Source organism: Homo sapiens, chromosome 1 (assembly GCF_000001405.40).
Source record: "Homo sapiens chromosome 1, GRCh38.p14 Primary Assembly".
NCBI lineage: Eukaryota > Metazoa > Chordata > Mammalia > Primates > Hominidae > Homo > Homo sapiens.
In genome coordinates, this window is record NC_000001.11 from 91,960,735 (window position 1) to 91,976,580 (window position 15,846).

General features: G+C 40.2%; 1 protein-coding gene across 16 annotated transcripts in view; it reads left to right on the top strand.

Moving 5' to 3' along the window:
• BRDT (bromodomain testis associated) overlaps positions 1 to 15,846 on the top strand; it is a 65,058-nt gene that overhangs the window by 11,364 nt on the left and 37,848 nt on the right. For 12 of the 16 annotated variants that reach the window (NM_001242805.2, XM_006710855.5, XM_011542032.4 and 9 more), the window contains 4 exons: positions 1,984 to 2,212; positions 3,893 to 4,030; positions 7,412 to 7,526; positions 15,532 to 15,704. In NM_001242805.2, the coding sequence (NP_001229734.2) occupies positions 2,021 to 2,212; positions 3,893 to 4,030; positions 7,412 to 7,526; positions 15,532 to 15,704 (618 nt within the window). In that variant the 5' untranslated portion in view covers positions 1,984 to 2,020. Of the gene's footprint in view, positions 1 to 1,983; positions 2,213 to 3,892; positions 4,031 to 7,411; positions 7,539 to 15,531; positions 15,705 to 15,846 lie in introns of all 16 variants that reach the window. The other 4 variants (NM_001242808.2, NM_001242807.2, NM_001242806.2 and 1 more) reach the window with 3 other exon arrangements.

Sequence of the window (15,846 nt, forward strand, 5' to 3'; positions counted from 1 at the left end):
GGTGAGAACTAATACTACTTTAATGCAGACAAAGATAATATTGGCTAAGTGTTAACACTGGTCTCTAAAAATGGGCAACTTATTTCATTTTCATTTTGCTTATGTACTTGAGGTATTATGTGCACGTTGGTAGTACCTTTATTATCCTTAAAGTAATGATGCTGTCTAGGAATATTAAATACCGTCTTTCTGAAACACCTATGAAATTTAAAATATTTTATTCTAGATGTAGCAATATGTGCCACAGAGTAACATTTTAATCTAATAAATTCGGTTTTAAAATAAATCACTTTGGGTCGGGTGCAGTGGCTCACGCCTGTAATCCCAGCACTTTGGGAGGTCGAGGAGGGTGGATCACCTGAGGTCAGGAGTTCCAGACCAGCTTGGCCAATGTAGTGAAACCCTGCCTGTACTAAAAATACAAAAATTAGCTGGGCGTGGTGGCAGGTGCCTGTAATCCCAGCTACTCAGGAAGCTGAGGCAGGAGAATCACTTGAAGCCAGCAGGCGGAAGTTGCAGTGAGTGGAAATTGTGCCACTGCACTCCAGTCTGGGCGGTAGAGTGAGACTCCATCTCAAAAAATAAAAACAGAAAAATAAAATAAAATCACTTTGGCTGGGCATAGTGGCTCAAGGCTGTAATCTCAGCACCTTGGGAGGCTGAGGTGTGTGGATCACCTGAGGTCAGGTTTTTGAGACCAGCCGGGCCAACATGTTGAAACCCTGTCTCTACAAAAAAATACAAAAATTAGCTGCATGGTGTCATGCATCTGTAGTCGCAGCTACTTGGGAGGCTGAGGCTAGAGAATCGCTTGAACCTGGGAGGCAAACATTACAGTGGGCCGAGATCGCGCCATTGCACTCCAGCCTGGGCAACAGAATGAGACTCCATCTCAGAGAGAGAGAGAGACACCATAAATTAATCACTTTTTTCAAATTAGCCAGAACATTTTTTTACTTTGCTTTTCTCTCTTCATTGAATTAACAATTGTAGAATACTTACACACTGATCATATCTTTAACATTCTCTGTTATTTCTTCCGACTAGGAATTTATAGACTTTTCCTGCTAAGACCTCAATTTGTGTTTTTGTGAAAGACAGGAAGACTGAGATGTTGAAATAATTTAAAACAGCCAAGGTTGGCCGGGCGCGGTGGCTCACGCTTGTAATCCCAGCACTTTGGGAGGCCGAGGCGGGCGGATCACGAGGTCAGGAGATCTAGACCACGGTGAAACCCCATCTCTACTAAAAATACAAAAAGTTAGCCGGGCGTAGTGGAGGGCGCCTGTAGTCCCAGCTACTCGGGAGGCGGAGGCAGGAGAATGGCGTGAACCCGGGAGGCGGAGCTTGCAGTGAGCCGAGATGGAGCCACTGCACTCCAGCCTGGGTGACAGAGCAAGACTCCGTCTCAAAAAAAAAAAAAAAAAAAAAAAAAAAAAAAAAAAAAAAAAAAAAAAATCCAAGGCTAAGGCATATATAGTGAAACTTTTACTATTTGTATATAAAAAATTTGTATTTGTTTAAAAATTGATTCCTTTGCCATTTGGCTTTTTTTTTTTTTCATCCTGTCTTAATCATGATGTGCTTTAAAACACAGTATGTGTTAACTCTTTTTTGAGATGGAGTTTCATTCTTGTTGCCCAGGCTGTAGTGCAATGGCACGATCTTGGCTCACTGTAACCTCTGCCTCCCGGATTTAAGGGATTCTCCCTCCTCACCCTCCTAAGTAGCTTAGATTACAGGCATGCACTACCACCTCTGGCTAATTTTTGTATTTTTAGTAGAGACAGGGTTTCACTACATTGGTCAGGCTGGTCTCGAACTCCTGACCTCAAGTGATCCACCCGCCTTGGCCTCCCAAAGTGTTGAGATTACAGGCCTGAGCCACTGTGCCCGGCTTCTGTTACTCTTGAATAACACTTTTCAGCTCCTGTGGAAACCATTCCTAAAGTGCTTCTGAAGTACTCAGTTTTTGTTTTTCAGGACATGTACTTGTAGACAGGATTCAAAGCAGTTAAGAATGTCTCTGCCAAGTCGACAAACAGCTATTATTGTTAACCCTCCTCCACCAGAATATATAAATACTAAGAAAAATGGGCGATTGACAAATCAACTTCAGTATCTACAAAAAGTTGTCCTAAAGGATTTATGGAAGCATAGTTTTTCATGGCCCTTTCAACGTCCTGTGGATGCTGTGAAACTACAGTTGCCTGTATGTATGTCTTCAACTATGTTAGTTTCAAAAAAAGAAAACTCCTGTAAATTTCTGTAAGACATAACTAGTCTTTAATATTATAAAACATATTTGGCCAGGCGCGTTGGCTCCCGCCTATAATCCCAGCACTTTGGGAGGCCGAGGTGGGGAGATCACCTGAGGTCGGGAGTTCGAGACCAGCCTGACCAACATGGAGAGACCCCGTCTCTACTAAAAATACAAAATTAGCCGGGCGTGGTGGCACATGCCTGTACTTCCAGCTACCCAGGAGGCTGAGCAGGAGAATCTCTTGAACCTGGGAGGCGGAGGTTGTGGTAAGCCGAGATTGTGCCATTGCCTGGGCAACAAGAGTAAAACTCCATCTCCAAAAATAAAAAATAAAAAAAATTTAACAACTGATTTATTTAGCATCATTAAAGTCTATCCCAATGAGTATTTTTTTCCAAGAAAAAAGCTTATTTTTCTGAGCATTCGCATTCTTATTTTAATAATTTGTGATAAATTGTAATACATGTTTTCTTATTATAGTATATGTCACTTCACCTTTTGGATGCAGAGTTATCCTGAATTTTACCTTTTCTATGAAGTTTCTCTTGACACTTCCTGGCAGGCTTAGTTGCATCACATACAGAATTTGACTTTAGGTCTTACGTTAGGAATTTTTAGCCATTCATTAATGCAATGGTTGAGTAGTTTACAATATAGCTAGTCAACTCGAAGCTGGAATTTTATTCTATGGAGTCAGACTCCATAAAAACAAGGTTCTTTTTCCTCATGCCCTTTTTATTTTCAAGGATAATTTTATTCTGAAATTCTTACCTTTGTTCATCTTTATTGGCTTTTTTTTTTTTTTTTTTAGCATCTAAAAATAATGCCACAGCAGTCAGCTTTGTTTCTCATTACTAAAGGTTCTAGTTTCTAGAATATGGCCTTTTTTTTTTTGAGACAGTCTCACTCTGTCACCCAGACTACAGTGGAGTGGCATGATCTCTGACCGCTGCAACCTCTGCCTCCTGGGCTCAAGTGATTCTTGGGCCTCACCCTCCCAAGTAGCTGGGAAGACAGGCATGTGCCAGCACACCTGGCTAATTTTCTGTTGTTTTTTTTTGTTGTTGTTGTTGTGTTTTTTGAGACAGAGTCTCGCTCTGTCCCCCAGGCTGGAGTGCAGTGGCACAATCTTGGCTCACTGCAACCTCTGCCTCCCAGGTTTGAGTGATTCTCCTGCCTCAAACTCCTGAGTAGCTGGGATTACAGGCACGCATCATCACACCAGGCTTATTTTTGTATTTTTAGTGGAGATGGGGCTTCCCCGTGTTGGTCAGGCTGGTCTCGAACTCGTGACCTCAGGTGATCCACCCACCTTGGCCTCCCAAAGTGCTGGGATTACAGGCGTGAGCCACCATGCCCGGCCAATTTTCTGTATTTTTATTAGAGATGGGTTTTGCCATGTTGGCCAGGCTGATCTTGAACTCCTGGCCTCAAGTGATCCTCCTGCCTTGGCCTCCCGAAGTGCGGGACTACAGGCGTGAGCCACTGTGCCCAGCCAGAATATGGCTTTTTAAAGATAATCAGTTGCTCTCTCTAGTTGCAGGTGTATAGTGCATTAAATTTCTTTGTGTATCAATAGTTGTAGTGTATTCATTCTTACTAACATTTAGAATTTGTTCAAAACCATAGGATTATTATACCATTATAAAAAACCCAATGGATTTAAATACAATTAAGAAGCGCTTGGAGAATAAATATTATGCGAAGGCTTCAGAATGTATAGAAGACTTCAATACAATGTTCTCAAATTGTTATTTATATAACAAGGTATGTAAGCCTTATGTTATACTTGCTAATTCTTTGCCATTACATATAGGAGAGAAATGTATAAAATCATGTGATCATTTCAGATTTCAATTCTCTTCGTTTGAGATACTTGACGTGTGTGTGTGTGTGTGTGTGTGTGTATATAATTTTTTTTTTTTTTTTTGAGATGGAGTCTGGCTCTGTCACCCAGGCTGGAGTGCAGTGGTGTGATCTCAGCTCACTGCAACCTCTGCCCCCAGGTTCAAGTGATTCTCCTGCCTCAGCCTCCCGAGTAGCTGGGAATACAGGCACCCACCAACCTGCCTGGCTAATTTTTTGTATCTTTTTTTAGTAGAGATGGGGTTTTACCATGTTGGCCTGGCTGGTCTTGAACTCCTGACCTCAGGTGTTCCACCCACCTCAGCCTCCCAAAGTTCTGGGATTATAGGTGTGAGCCACTGTGCCCGGCCAAGATCTTTTACATATTTTTAAGGACAATACTTTTTCACTGAATTTCATAATTTTCACATACCAATACTTGTTCAGTCTATTTGCTATAATATTTTTGTGCCTGAATAGCTGTAGTGGCTTGTTATGTTTTTAAAAACCAAAATACCAATGAGAGCTGGTTTCTGTGAATAAGGTATTTCAGAATGTTTTCTATTGCATTCCTGTCATTTTAGTTATGAGATAAAGGAAAAGCCTTAGTATATACTAATCTTCATTAAATTTTCACAGTATGGACCCCTGGCCATAACCTAAAAAGCCAAACCAATTGCCTACTTCTAAACTTCACAAGTTGATTTAAAGATCAGATATGTTCTGGCCGGGCACGGTGGCTCACACCTGTAATCCCAGCACTTTGGGAGGCTGAGGCGGGAGGATCATGAGGTTGAGAGATCAAGACCATCCTGACCAACATGGTGAAACCCCGCCTCACTAGAAATACAAAAATTAGCTGGGCATGGTGGCATGTGCCTGTAGTCCCAGCTACTCGGGAGGCTGAGGCAGGAGAATCGCTTCAGCCCAGGAGGTGGAGGTTGCAGTGAGCCTAGATGCCACCATTGCACTCCAGCCTGGTGACAGAGCAAGACACCTTCTCAAAAAAAAAAAAAAAATCCACCTTCCTGGGATGAGTCCTTTGATTCTCCCTTTTGCCTTTCCCTGTCTCTTGTTTCTCTGTCTAAAAAAGAGATCAGATATGCTCTTTGTTCTATCCCAGTAGTAGTACTTGGATTTGTGTTAATGAATTTGCCCATATGATATATGTAGAAATTTTATTTTATTTTTTTATTTTTATTTTTTGAGATGGAGTCTCGCTCTGTTGCCCAGGCTGGAGTGCAGTGTATGTGGAGATTTTAAACTTAATCTTCATATTGGCTCTCATCCATAAAATTGGATTTGTGTATTTGGTTTTCTTCCATATAGTATTCCCATTTCCTACAGTACTGTATCCTGTTCTAGCTGTTCTAGGGCATCTAAATATTTTAAAGCTTATATCTCATTTAAATATGAGAATTCTAAGTATTTGTGATTTCGTTTATTCAAAATCACTGGTGAGTACACTGAATTGTAATAGAAAGTTTGATTTGGCTCCCAAGAAAACTCACCAGTGCCAGCTTATATGTATAAAAGATTTAAAACTATTAGCCAATGCGAATGATTTTTTTGTCTGAGACGGACTCACTGTGTTGCCTAGGCTGGACTTGATCTCCTGGGCTCAAGTGATACTCCCACCTCACCCTCCTAAGTAGCTGGGATTATAGGCACACACCACTGCATCCAGCTCCAATGTGAATTTTTAAAAAATCAGTACCATTGGCAACTTCATTTTAATTTAACTACAATTCCAAAGGGTCCTTTCAGATGTAATATTTTAAAATGAAGTTTGGTAATTTTCCTGAGCTACCTAACTTAGAAATAAATGTTCTCTTTATTTAAGAGAACTGTTGCTTTGTAAATTACTTACTTTTTTTCTCAGTCATAAATTGAAGCAAGAGGAAGACTTGTAAGCGAATAGTTAAGATTGAAAAATTGAATATGTTGCCTGGGTGCGGTGGCTCATGCCTGTAATCCCAGCACTTTGGGAGGCCAAGGCGGGTGGATCACAAGGTCAGGAGTTCGAGATTAGCCTGGCCAAGATGGTGAAACCCTGTCTCTACTAAAACTACAGAAAGTAGCCAGACGCGGTGGCAGGCACCTGTAATCCCAGGTACTCAGGAGGCTGAGGCAGGAGAATCGCTTGAACCCAGGTGACAGAGGTTGCAGTGAGCCGAGATTGCGCCACTGTACTCCAGCCTGGGAGACAGAGTGAGACTTCGTCGTTGAATATGTTGGTAGAGTTGGCTTAGAAAAAAATATTAAAAAATTGAGTCAGTGCTACAGTGTTATTTTATTAATTAGTTAATTAAACAGAATTACTTCCAGTCAAACCATGAGACACTTTGTATTGCCATGAGTAAGTTTTGTTTTAACCTATTTGTGAGTAGAAATTCTCTTTTTTTTTTTTAAGACGGAGTTTTCGCTCTTGTTGCCCAGGCTGGAGTGCAATGGTGCAATCTCAGCTCACCACAACCTCCACCTCCCGGTTCAAGCAATTCTCCTGCCTCAGCCTCCTGAGTAGCTGGGATTACAGGCATGCGCAACCGCACCTGGCTAATTTTTTTTTTTTTTAAACGTAGTTTTGCTCTTGTTGCCCAGGCTGGAGTGCGATGGCACTATCTCAGCTCACCTCAACCTCTGCCTCCCGGGTTCAAGCAATTCTCCTGCCTCAGCCTCCTGAGTAGCTAGGATTACAGGCACGCACCACCACGCCTGGCTAATTTTGTATTTTTAGTAGAGATGGGGTTTCTCCACGTTTGTCAGGCTGGTCTCAAACTCCCGACCTCAGGTGATCCGCCCGCTTCGGCCTCCCAAAGTTCTGGGATTGTAGGCGTGAGCCACCGCGCCCAGCCTAATTTTGTATTTTTAGTAGAGACAGGGTTTCTCCATGTTGGTCAGGCTGGTCTCGAACTCCCGACCTCAGATGATCTACCCCCGCCAGCCTCCAAAAGTGCTGGGATTACAGGCGTGAGCCACCATGCCTGGCGAAATTCTCAGTTTTAATACCTGTTTGATTTAGTAGGATTGCTTGGATTGTAATTCTTTAGTGTTCAGAAAGCCATTTGGGTCCTTTTTAGAAGCTGAAGGAGTAGGATGCTAGAATTTTAAATGTGAGCTGCTTTCAACCATAGAGAATAAGAAAATAAAATGTGAGCAGCTTCACTATTTTCTAAATTTATAAGAGATGAATACCGTCTAGGAGTACTATGTTACTGCCTTCCATAAAGTGGGCTGAATTTAAAACATTTGGTACAGTGACCATACTGTATATCCTTATGGTATATTTAATATATTTTGTAGCCTGGAGATGACATTGTTCTTATGGCACAAGCTCTAGAGAAGCTGTTTATGCAGAAATTATCTCAGATGCCACAAGAAGAGCAAGTTGTGGGTGTTAAGGAAAGAATCAAGAAAGGTAAGGCAGGAGGTAAACACTTTATGGTTCTCTCTCTTTTTTTCCCCTATCTATCTCATGTGTGTGTGTAAATCCCTCAAAGGAGACAGACATCCAGAAGTCCTACATCCTATTCTATTAATAAAAAATGTCCATTTGAAACAATCTGCCAAACCTTGATCACAAGGATGGGTATCATTCAAGAATAGTGAGGACTGCATTGATTATGGCCTCAGAGCCAGCTTTCTTGTAGCATAATGCCGTTCACATAGTAGGGATTCAGAAAATCATAGCTGTTACTGCTGTTTTCAGTGGATCTTGCATCTGTGCTGTACTGATAAGAATGCCCAAATTGCTAGTGCTCTCTGTATTAAAAAAAAATTTCCATAGCTGAGAATGAAATGTTAGTATTGCGTTGGAAGATTGTCTTTTTTTCCTAACTTTTTCTTCACTCACAAAAATCTTTAGAGGAAATCATCTTTACAACTAATAATCATATCATTTAAATATGGTGTTTCAAAAATCTTAAATCTGAAGTATTCAAATAGATGTATTATAGAGGTTAATCAAGAGTGTAGTAAATGTTGGTTTATCTTTGGATCACTTAAGCAGTGTAATCTTTAAGTTCTTAGTCATTCCATGTTAGTTTCCTCATTTACAATATCAGGAAAATTATTTATTTATTTATTTATTTATTTATTTATTTATTTATTTGAGACGGAGTCTTCACTCTGTCGCCCAGGCTGGAGTGCAGTAGTGCGATCTCGGCTCACTGCAAGCTCTGCCTCCCAGATTCAAGCCATTCTCCTGCCTCAGCCTCCAGAGTAGCTGGGACTACAGGCGCCCACCACCACGCCCTGCTAATTTTTTGTATTTTTTTTTAGTAGAGTCGGGGTTTCACCATGTTAGCCAGGATGGTCTCGATCTCCTGACGTCGTGATCTGCCTGCCTCGGCCTCCCAAAGTGCTGGGATTACAGGCGTGAGCCACCGCGCCTGGCCCTAAAAATATTTATCTTTCGTGATTGTAAATGTTTATAAAGTATATAGTTAAGTGCCTGAGATATAGGAGGCTTGTAATAGGTTCATGGCAGAGGTTGATTTTTTTTTTTTGAGGTTTTTATTGGTACTAATATATACTTTTTTATTGCTAATAGATCCTTAAGGTGGGTCATAACTTATAGTGCTTTAACCAAATCTATGAGATATTCACATATTCACTGATTATATTTAAGTCCTTATTCTTATTTTAGAAAAGGTTGATCTAATGTCTGACAATGTGAGACCTAGGCTTCTACAAGAAGATTTAAATAAGCCCTTGTGAGGTAGATAATACATAGATTAGTATGGTATTTAAATTGTAAAACCAGCGTGCTAATTGTTGCTGACTTAATTTATTACCCTTAGCAAGATAAAAATTATTATTTTTTCCATTTAATGTTGCTAGAAGGTAAAAATTATTGATCTTTTTATTGATCTTTTATCTGAGGGAAACATACTGTTAACAGTTACCTGAGCATCTGAAACAAGTAGCTGCAACTTAACTTTCAAGTGTTTAAGTTTTTTTGTTTTTGTGTGTGTGTGTGTTTTTTTTTTTTTTTTTTTTTTGAGACAGAGTTTCACTCTCGTTGCCCAGGCTGGAGTGCAATGGCATGATCTCTGCTCACTGCAACCTCTGCCTTCCAGGTTCAAGTGATTCTCCTGCCTCAGCCTCCTGAGTAGCTGGGATTACAGGCGCATGCCACCATGCCCAGCTAATTTTTGTATTTTTTAGTAGAGATGGGGTTTCACCATGTTGGCCAGGCTGGTCTCAAACTCCTGACCTTAGGTGATCCACCTGCCTTGGCCTCCCAAAGTGCTGTGATTACAGGCATGAGCTGCTGCACCTGGCCTACATTTAAGTTTTTTGTTAGAAATAAAACTTGAAAAAAATTACAAGACAGTGCATTATGGAAAAAAAGACAATGCATTATGACACGTGTCAGATGAAATTACATGTAACATATGCTGTGTTTGAAAAGAATGAGAAATTTTGTTTTATTTCGAGACAGGGTCTCATTCTGTCACCCTGGCTGGAGTGCAGTGGCACTCCACAATCAGTTCACTGCAGCCTCAAGCTCCTGGGCTTAAACGGTCCTCCCACTTTAGCCTCCCAAGTAGCCAATATTAAGGACATGTACCACCACACCCAGCTAATTTTTTTGTTTCTTACAGAGGTGGGGTCTCATTTTGTTGCCCAGGCTCATCTTGAACTCCTGGCTTCAAACGATCCTCATGCCTTGGCCTCCCAAAGTGCTAGGATTACAGGCGTGAGCCACCATGCATGGCCAAGAGTGAGAAATTGATACGTGATGTGTGCTAGTACATTTTGCATTGCTATAAAGAAATACCTGGCTGGGCATTGTGGCTCATGGCTGTAATGCCAGCACATTGGGAAGCCAAGATGGGAGGATTACATGAGCCCAGGAATTCAAGACCAGCCTGAGCAGGATAGGAGGACCCTTTATAGAAAAATTTGAAACTTTGCCAGGTATAGTGGCATGCACTTGTAGTTCCAGCTCCTCAAGAGCCTGAGGTGGGAGGATTGCTTGAACCCAGTGGGTTGAAGGTGCAGTGAGCCATGATCACACCACTGCAACAGAGCAACAGAGCGACAGAGCAAGACCCTTTCTCAAAAAAAAAAAAAAAAAAAAGAAAAGGAAAGAAATATGTGAGGCTGGGTAATTTACAAAGAAAAGAGGTTTATTTGGCTCATGGTTTTGCAGGCTGTATAATTATGGCACCAGCATCTGCTTAGCTTCTGGGCCTCAGGAAGCTTTCAATCATGGTCAAAGGCAAAGAGGGAGCTGTTGTATCACATGGTGAGGTGGGGGTAGGGGAGAGGTGCTCTTTTAAGCAACCAGCTCTTCTGTGAACTCATAGAGTGAGCACTCCTTCATTACGTCAAGGACGGCACCAAGAGATTCATGAGGGATCCACCCCTCATGACCCAAACACCTCCCACACCAGGCCCCACCACCAACATTGGAGGTCACATTTCAACATAAGATTTGAAGAGGACAAAACATCCAAACCATATCACGCTGGAAAAGTTGGGAGAGGCTTTAGAGGTGATACAAGTTATGTTTGACCTCAAAGAATAGGTAGGATTTGGCTTCAGAGGGAATGTCTAAGTTTAAAAGACTTCTGACAGAAGCATTCCACTACCAGAGTCATGTCTTTGTTAGTCACAGTGGTAGGAAAATTGTCATATGATGGTAGCTAGTTTAAAATAATGTGGTTACGTACATGTTGATAATTTATGGCAAAGAAAACTTGGTATTAAACTGATAATGTTGATTGAGCAAATACTTGAGTGCTGATTATGTACCACAACACTGTTCTGTGCTCTTGAGATATTATCAGTGAATAAAACAAAAACTTTGCCATCTTGGAATTAATATTCTAGTAGTAAGTGAGAGACAAACATGACAGATTCAGTGGAGGCCTCATTGAGAAGTGAAGATTTGAAAGAACATTCCAGCTAGAGGAATCAGCTAGAGCAAAGGCCTATAACAGATCCTTTCCTCCTCCATCACTTTGAGCCAATGCCTTCATTTGTGAACGGATCTTGCCATCTCAACCATTTTATTCCTTTTTGTTATCTCCCTTTTTTCTTGGATCATTAATCTCTCCTCCTCTATGGGGTTAGTCTCATTACCCTATAAACTTGCTCTAGTATCTCATCTTTAAAATACTCCTTTATCCATATCCTTCCAGCTATTGTTCCTTTTTTTTTTTTCTTTCTTTCTTTCTTCCTGTATACTCATGTAGTCTCCTTAGCACAAATTCTAGCTTTGATTCACCACCAAAAACCTTTTGTCAGTCAGGGTCACTTGTAGTCTTCATGCTGCAAAATTTAAGTAGTGTTTTTCTATTCTCATTTTATTTGACTTCTGTCAGTATTTGCCTTAGGAAACTACTGTGTCTTTCTTAAAATGCTTTTATTTCTTCATGCACACAATAATCATGTGGACTTACTTCCCATTCTATAGTTCTCTTGACCTGGCTGGCTACTTCTTACCTTTATAGTGACATCTTAGTTGTCAGCTTTAGAGAGGGAGGCCTTCCTTGGCTACCCTCTCCATAATAGTTCTCTGCCTTAATTTAGTCAGTAACCTGTATATTTCCTTCCTAACACTTAGCATCACTTGTACTCAGTTTGATTACTTATTTTTTGTCTGTTTCTTACACTAGACAGTAAGCTACAAGAGCAGATACTATGTCTGTCTTGTTCATTTTTGTGCCCTAGCACCTAAAATGGTGTCCAACACGCAATAGGCATGCAGTAAATATTTACTGTGTTTCTCTCATGTAACAAGTACTGCATTAGGCACAAGGGACTTAGGGGTGACCAAAACAAAGTCCCCTTACCCTCACAGAGCTTTTTATTCTTGTGAGGGATAGAGACAAAATTAAATAATTCTAACTATTCCTCACTATGCATATCTAATTAGCTCCTGAGTTCAAAGAGCAACAGTTGGAATATCAAAGGGTGTGAGATTATCTGAATGTATTTGATTCCTAAGTTTTAGAGAGTAGTGACAACTCAGACATTGAGGAATATCAGCCCTATCTTAAAATACATTCAAATTTACTTAGTTCCTGAGTTTGTTTTGCAAGAATTGAAGAGCCGGAAATAGCTATATGTTGTATATCAAATGTGACAATGGCATGGAAAAAATAAAGCAGAATAAGAGCTAGACAGTTGGTGAGTGGGGATAGGTAGAGCGAAAATGTTATTTTATATGGGGTGGTTGAGAAGGTGACATATGAGTAAATGCCTGAAGGAAATGTTGGAATGAGGCATAAGGATATCTTCTTTTAGGCAAAACAAATAGTCTGCTTCTGCTTACCAAATTTGAGCAAGGCCAATAGGCTAGAGTGAGGTAAGGGCAGAGGGAAGTAATAAGAAGTGAAGTTTGAAGTGAGGTAGTGTGATGCCTCCAGCTTTGTTCTTTTGGCTTAGGATTGACTTGGCAATGCGGGCTCTTTTTTAGTTCCATATGAACTTTAAAGTAGTTTTTTCCAATTCTGTGAAGAAAGTCATTGGTAGCTTGATGGGGATGGCATTGAATCTATAAATTACCTTGGGCAGTATGGCCATTTTCACGATATTGATTCTTCCTATCCATGAGCATGGAATGTTCTTCCATTTGTTTGTGTCCTCTTTTATTTCGTTGAGCAGTGGTTTGTAGTTCTCCTTGAAGAGGTCCTTCACATCCCTTGTAAGTTGGATTCCTAGGTATTTTATTCTCTTTGAAACAATTGTGAATGGGAGTTCACTCATGATTTGGCTGTTTGTCTGTTATTGGTGTGTAAGAATGCTTGTGATTTTCACACATTGATTTTGTATCCTGAGACTTTGCTGAAGTTGCTAATCAGCCTAAGGAGATTTTGGGCTGAGATGATGGGGTTTTCTAGATATATAATCATGTCTTCTGCAAACAGGGACAATTTGACTTCCTCTTTTCCTAATTGAATACCCTTTATTTCTTTCTCCTGCCTGATTGCCTGGGCCAGAACTTCCAACACTATGTTGAATAGGAGTGGTGAGAGAGGGCATCCCTGTCTTGTGCAAGTTTTCGAAGGGAAAAGTTTTCAAACTATACTACAAGGCTGCAGTAACCAAAACAGCATGGTACTGGTACCAAAACAGAGATACAGACCAATGGAACAGAACAGAGCCCTCAGAAATAATACCACACATCTACAACTATCTGATCTTTGACAAACCTGACAAAAACAAGAAATGGGGAAAGGATTCCCTATTTAATAAATGGTGCTGGGAAAACTGGCTAGCCATATGTAGAAAGCTGAAATGGATCCCTTCCTTACACCTTATACAAAAATTAATTCAAGATGGATTAAAGACTTAAACGTTAGACCTAAAACCATAAAAACCCTAGAAGAAAACCTAGGCAATACCATTCAGAACATAGGCATAGGCAAGGACTTCATGTCTAAAACACCAAAAGCAATGGCAACAAAAGCCGAAATAGACAAATGGAATCTAATTAAACTAAAGAGCTTCTGCACAGCAATAGAAACTACCATCAGAGTGAACAGGCAACCTACAAAATGGGAGAAAATTTTTGCAATCTACTCATCTGACAAAGGGCTAATATCCAGAATCTACAAAGAACTCAAACTGATTTACAAGAAAAAAACAACCCCATCAAAAAGTGGGTGAAGGATATGAAGAGACACTTCTCAAAAGAAGACATTTATGCAGCCAGCAGACACATGAAAAAATGCTCATCATCACTGGCCATCAGAGAAATCCAAATCAAAACCACAATGAGATATCATCTCACACCAGTTAGAATGGCGATCATTAAAAAGTCAGGAAACAACAGGTGCTGGAGAGGATGTGGAGAAATAGGAACACTTTTACACTGTTGGTGGGACTGTAAACTAGTTCAACCATTGTGGAAGTCAGTGTGGTGATTCCTCAGGGATCTAGAACTAGAAATACCATTTGACCCAGCCATCCCATTACTGGGTATATACCCAAGGAAATATAAATCATGCTGCTATAAAGACACATGCACACATATGTTTATTGTGGCACTATTCACAATAGCAAAGACTTGGAACCAACCCAAATGTCCAACAATGATAGACTGGATTAAGAAAATGTGGCACATATATACCATGGAATACTATGAAGCCATAAAAAAGGATGAGTTCATGTCCTTTGTAGGGACATGGATGAAGCTGGAAACCATCATTCTTAGCAAACTATCGCAAGACAGAAATCCAAACACCGTATGTTCTCACTCATAGGTGGGAATTGAACAATGAGAGCACTTGGACACAGGAAGGGGAACATCACACACCGGGGCCTGTCGTGGGGTAGGGGGAGTGGGGAGGGATAGCATTAGGAGATATGCCTAATGTAAATGATGAGTTAATGGGTGTAGCACACCAACATGGCACATGTATACATATGTAACAAACCTGCACTTTGTGCACATGTACCCTAGAACTTAAAAGTATAATAAAAAAAATTTTAAAAAAAAAGTGAGGTTGGAAGGAGGGAAGAAGTGTGGAGAAGAGGACAAGCAGATCGTACACATGCTATGAGCACTTTGGTTTTTACTTAGCGAGATTACAAGCCATCACTGATTTGAGTTTTAAAAGATCACTTTGGTTGCTGTTTTGAGGATAGACTATAGAGGACCGAAGCAGAAGAAAGACCTGCCTGGATGTTATTGCAATAATTGAGTTGTGCACTGATGATGCCTTGGGCCAGAGTGAATGCCACTTGTGAGAAGTGTTTGAAGTCTAGATAGGAAGATAATGCTAACAGGGTTTGCTGGCGGGTTGGATATGGAGTTTGAGAGACAGTGGAGTCAAAGATGACTTCAAGGTTTTTGTTGTGAACAATTAGAAGAATAGAGTTGCCTTGATGGAAGGTTGAACTTTTGAAATAACAGATTTCAGAGTGATATGATCCAAATGTCTTACATCATAACATTCTGTGAGAACAGGGCAGAAGAACGTGACAATTGTTCCTTTGGCAGAATTTTCTGAAGAAGGTATTGATAAGAGAATCCTATTCACATCTTTTGTTCTGTGATGGACTATGTTAACAATTATGAAGTCCTTGGATATTTATGCAGAGCATTCTGAAGACCTCACATAGTATTGTATGGTTGGTCTCCAGAGTATCTGAAATTTTTGCTCATGTTCATAGCTACCTGAAGCTAACCACACAGCTCGATTATTAGTCTTGGTTTAAGCCAGGCACCTTTTTGAATAAAACTGATAAACCTACCATTAATAACAAATGTTGAAGTCTCCATTATTATATCTAAATTGGTCTAACCTGTCTAATCCTGTGTGTGTAGATTTCAAAATGAAATAAGTATCCTATGCTTATATTGCTAAAAAGCTGAACTAAATGAAATAGAAAATAAGACAGAAAGTGGTATTTTGTACTTTATTCATTCATATATTTGATTCTGGCTCATACTTTTCCAGGCACTCAACAGAATATAGCTGTTTCTTCTGCTAAAGAAAAATCATCACCCAGCGCAACAGAAAAAGTATTTAAGCAGCAAGAAATTCCTTCTGTATTTCCTAAGACATCTATTTCTCCCTTGAACGTGGTACAGGGAGCTTCAGTCAACTCCAGTTCACAAACTGCGGCCCAAGTAAGTTTGTTGTAGTTTTTAAATCATTGCTTTTTAACACTGGATTTTTTTTTTCCATTTATAGGAAAATTAGTCTTCAGCGTCTAGCAATTTTTCTTTTTTAATTCATTTAGCATCTAGCAATCTGAAATAATACTGTTTC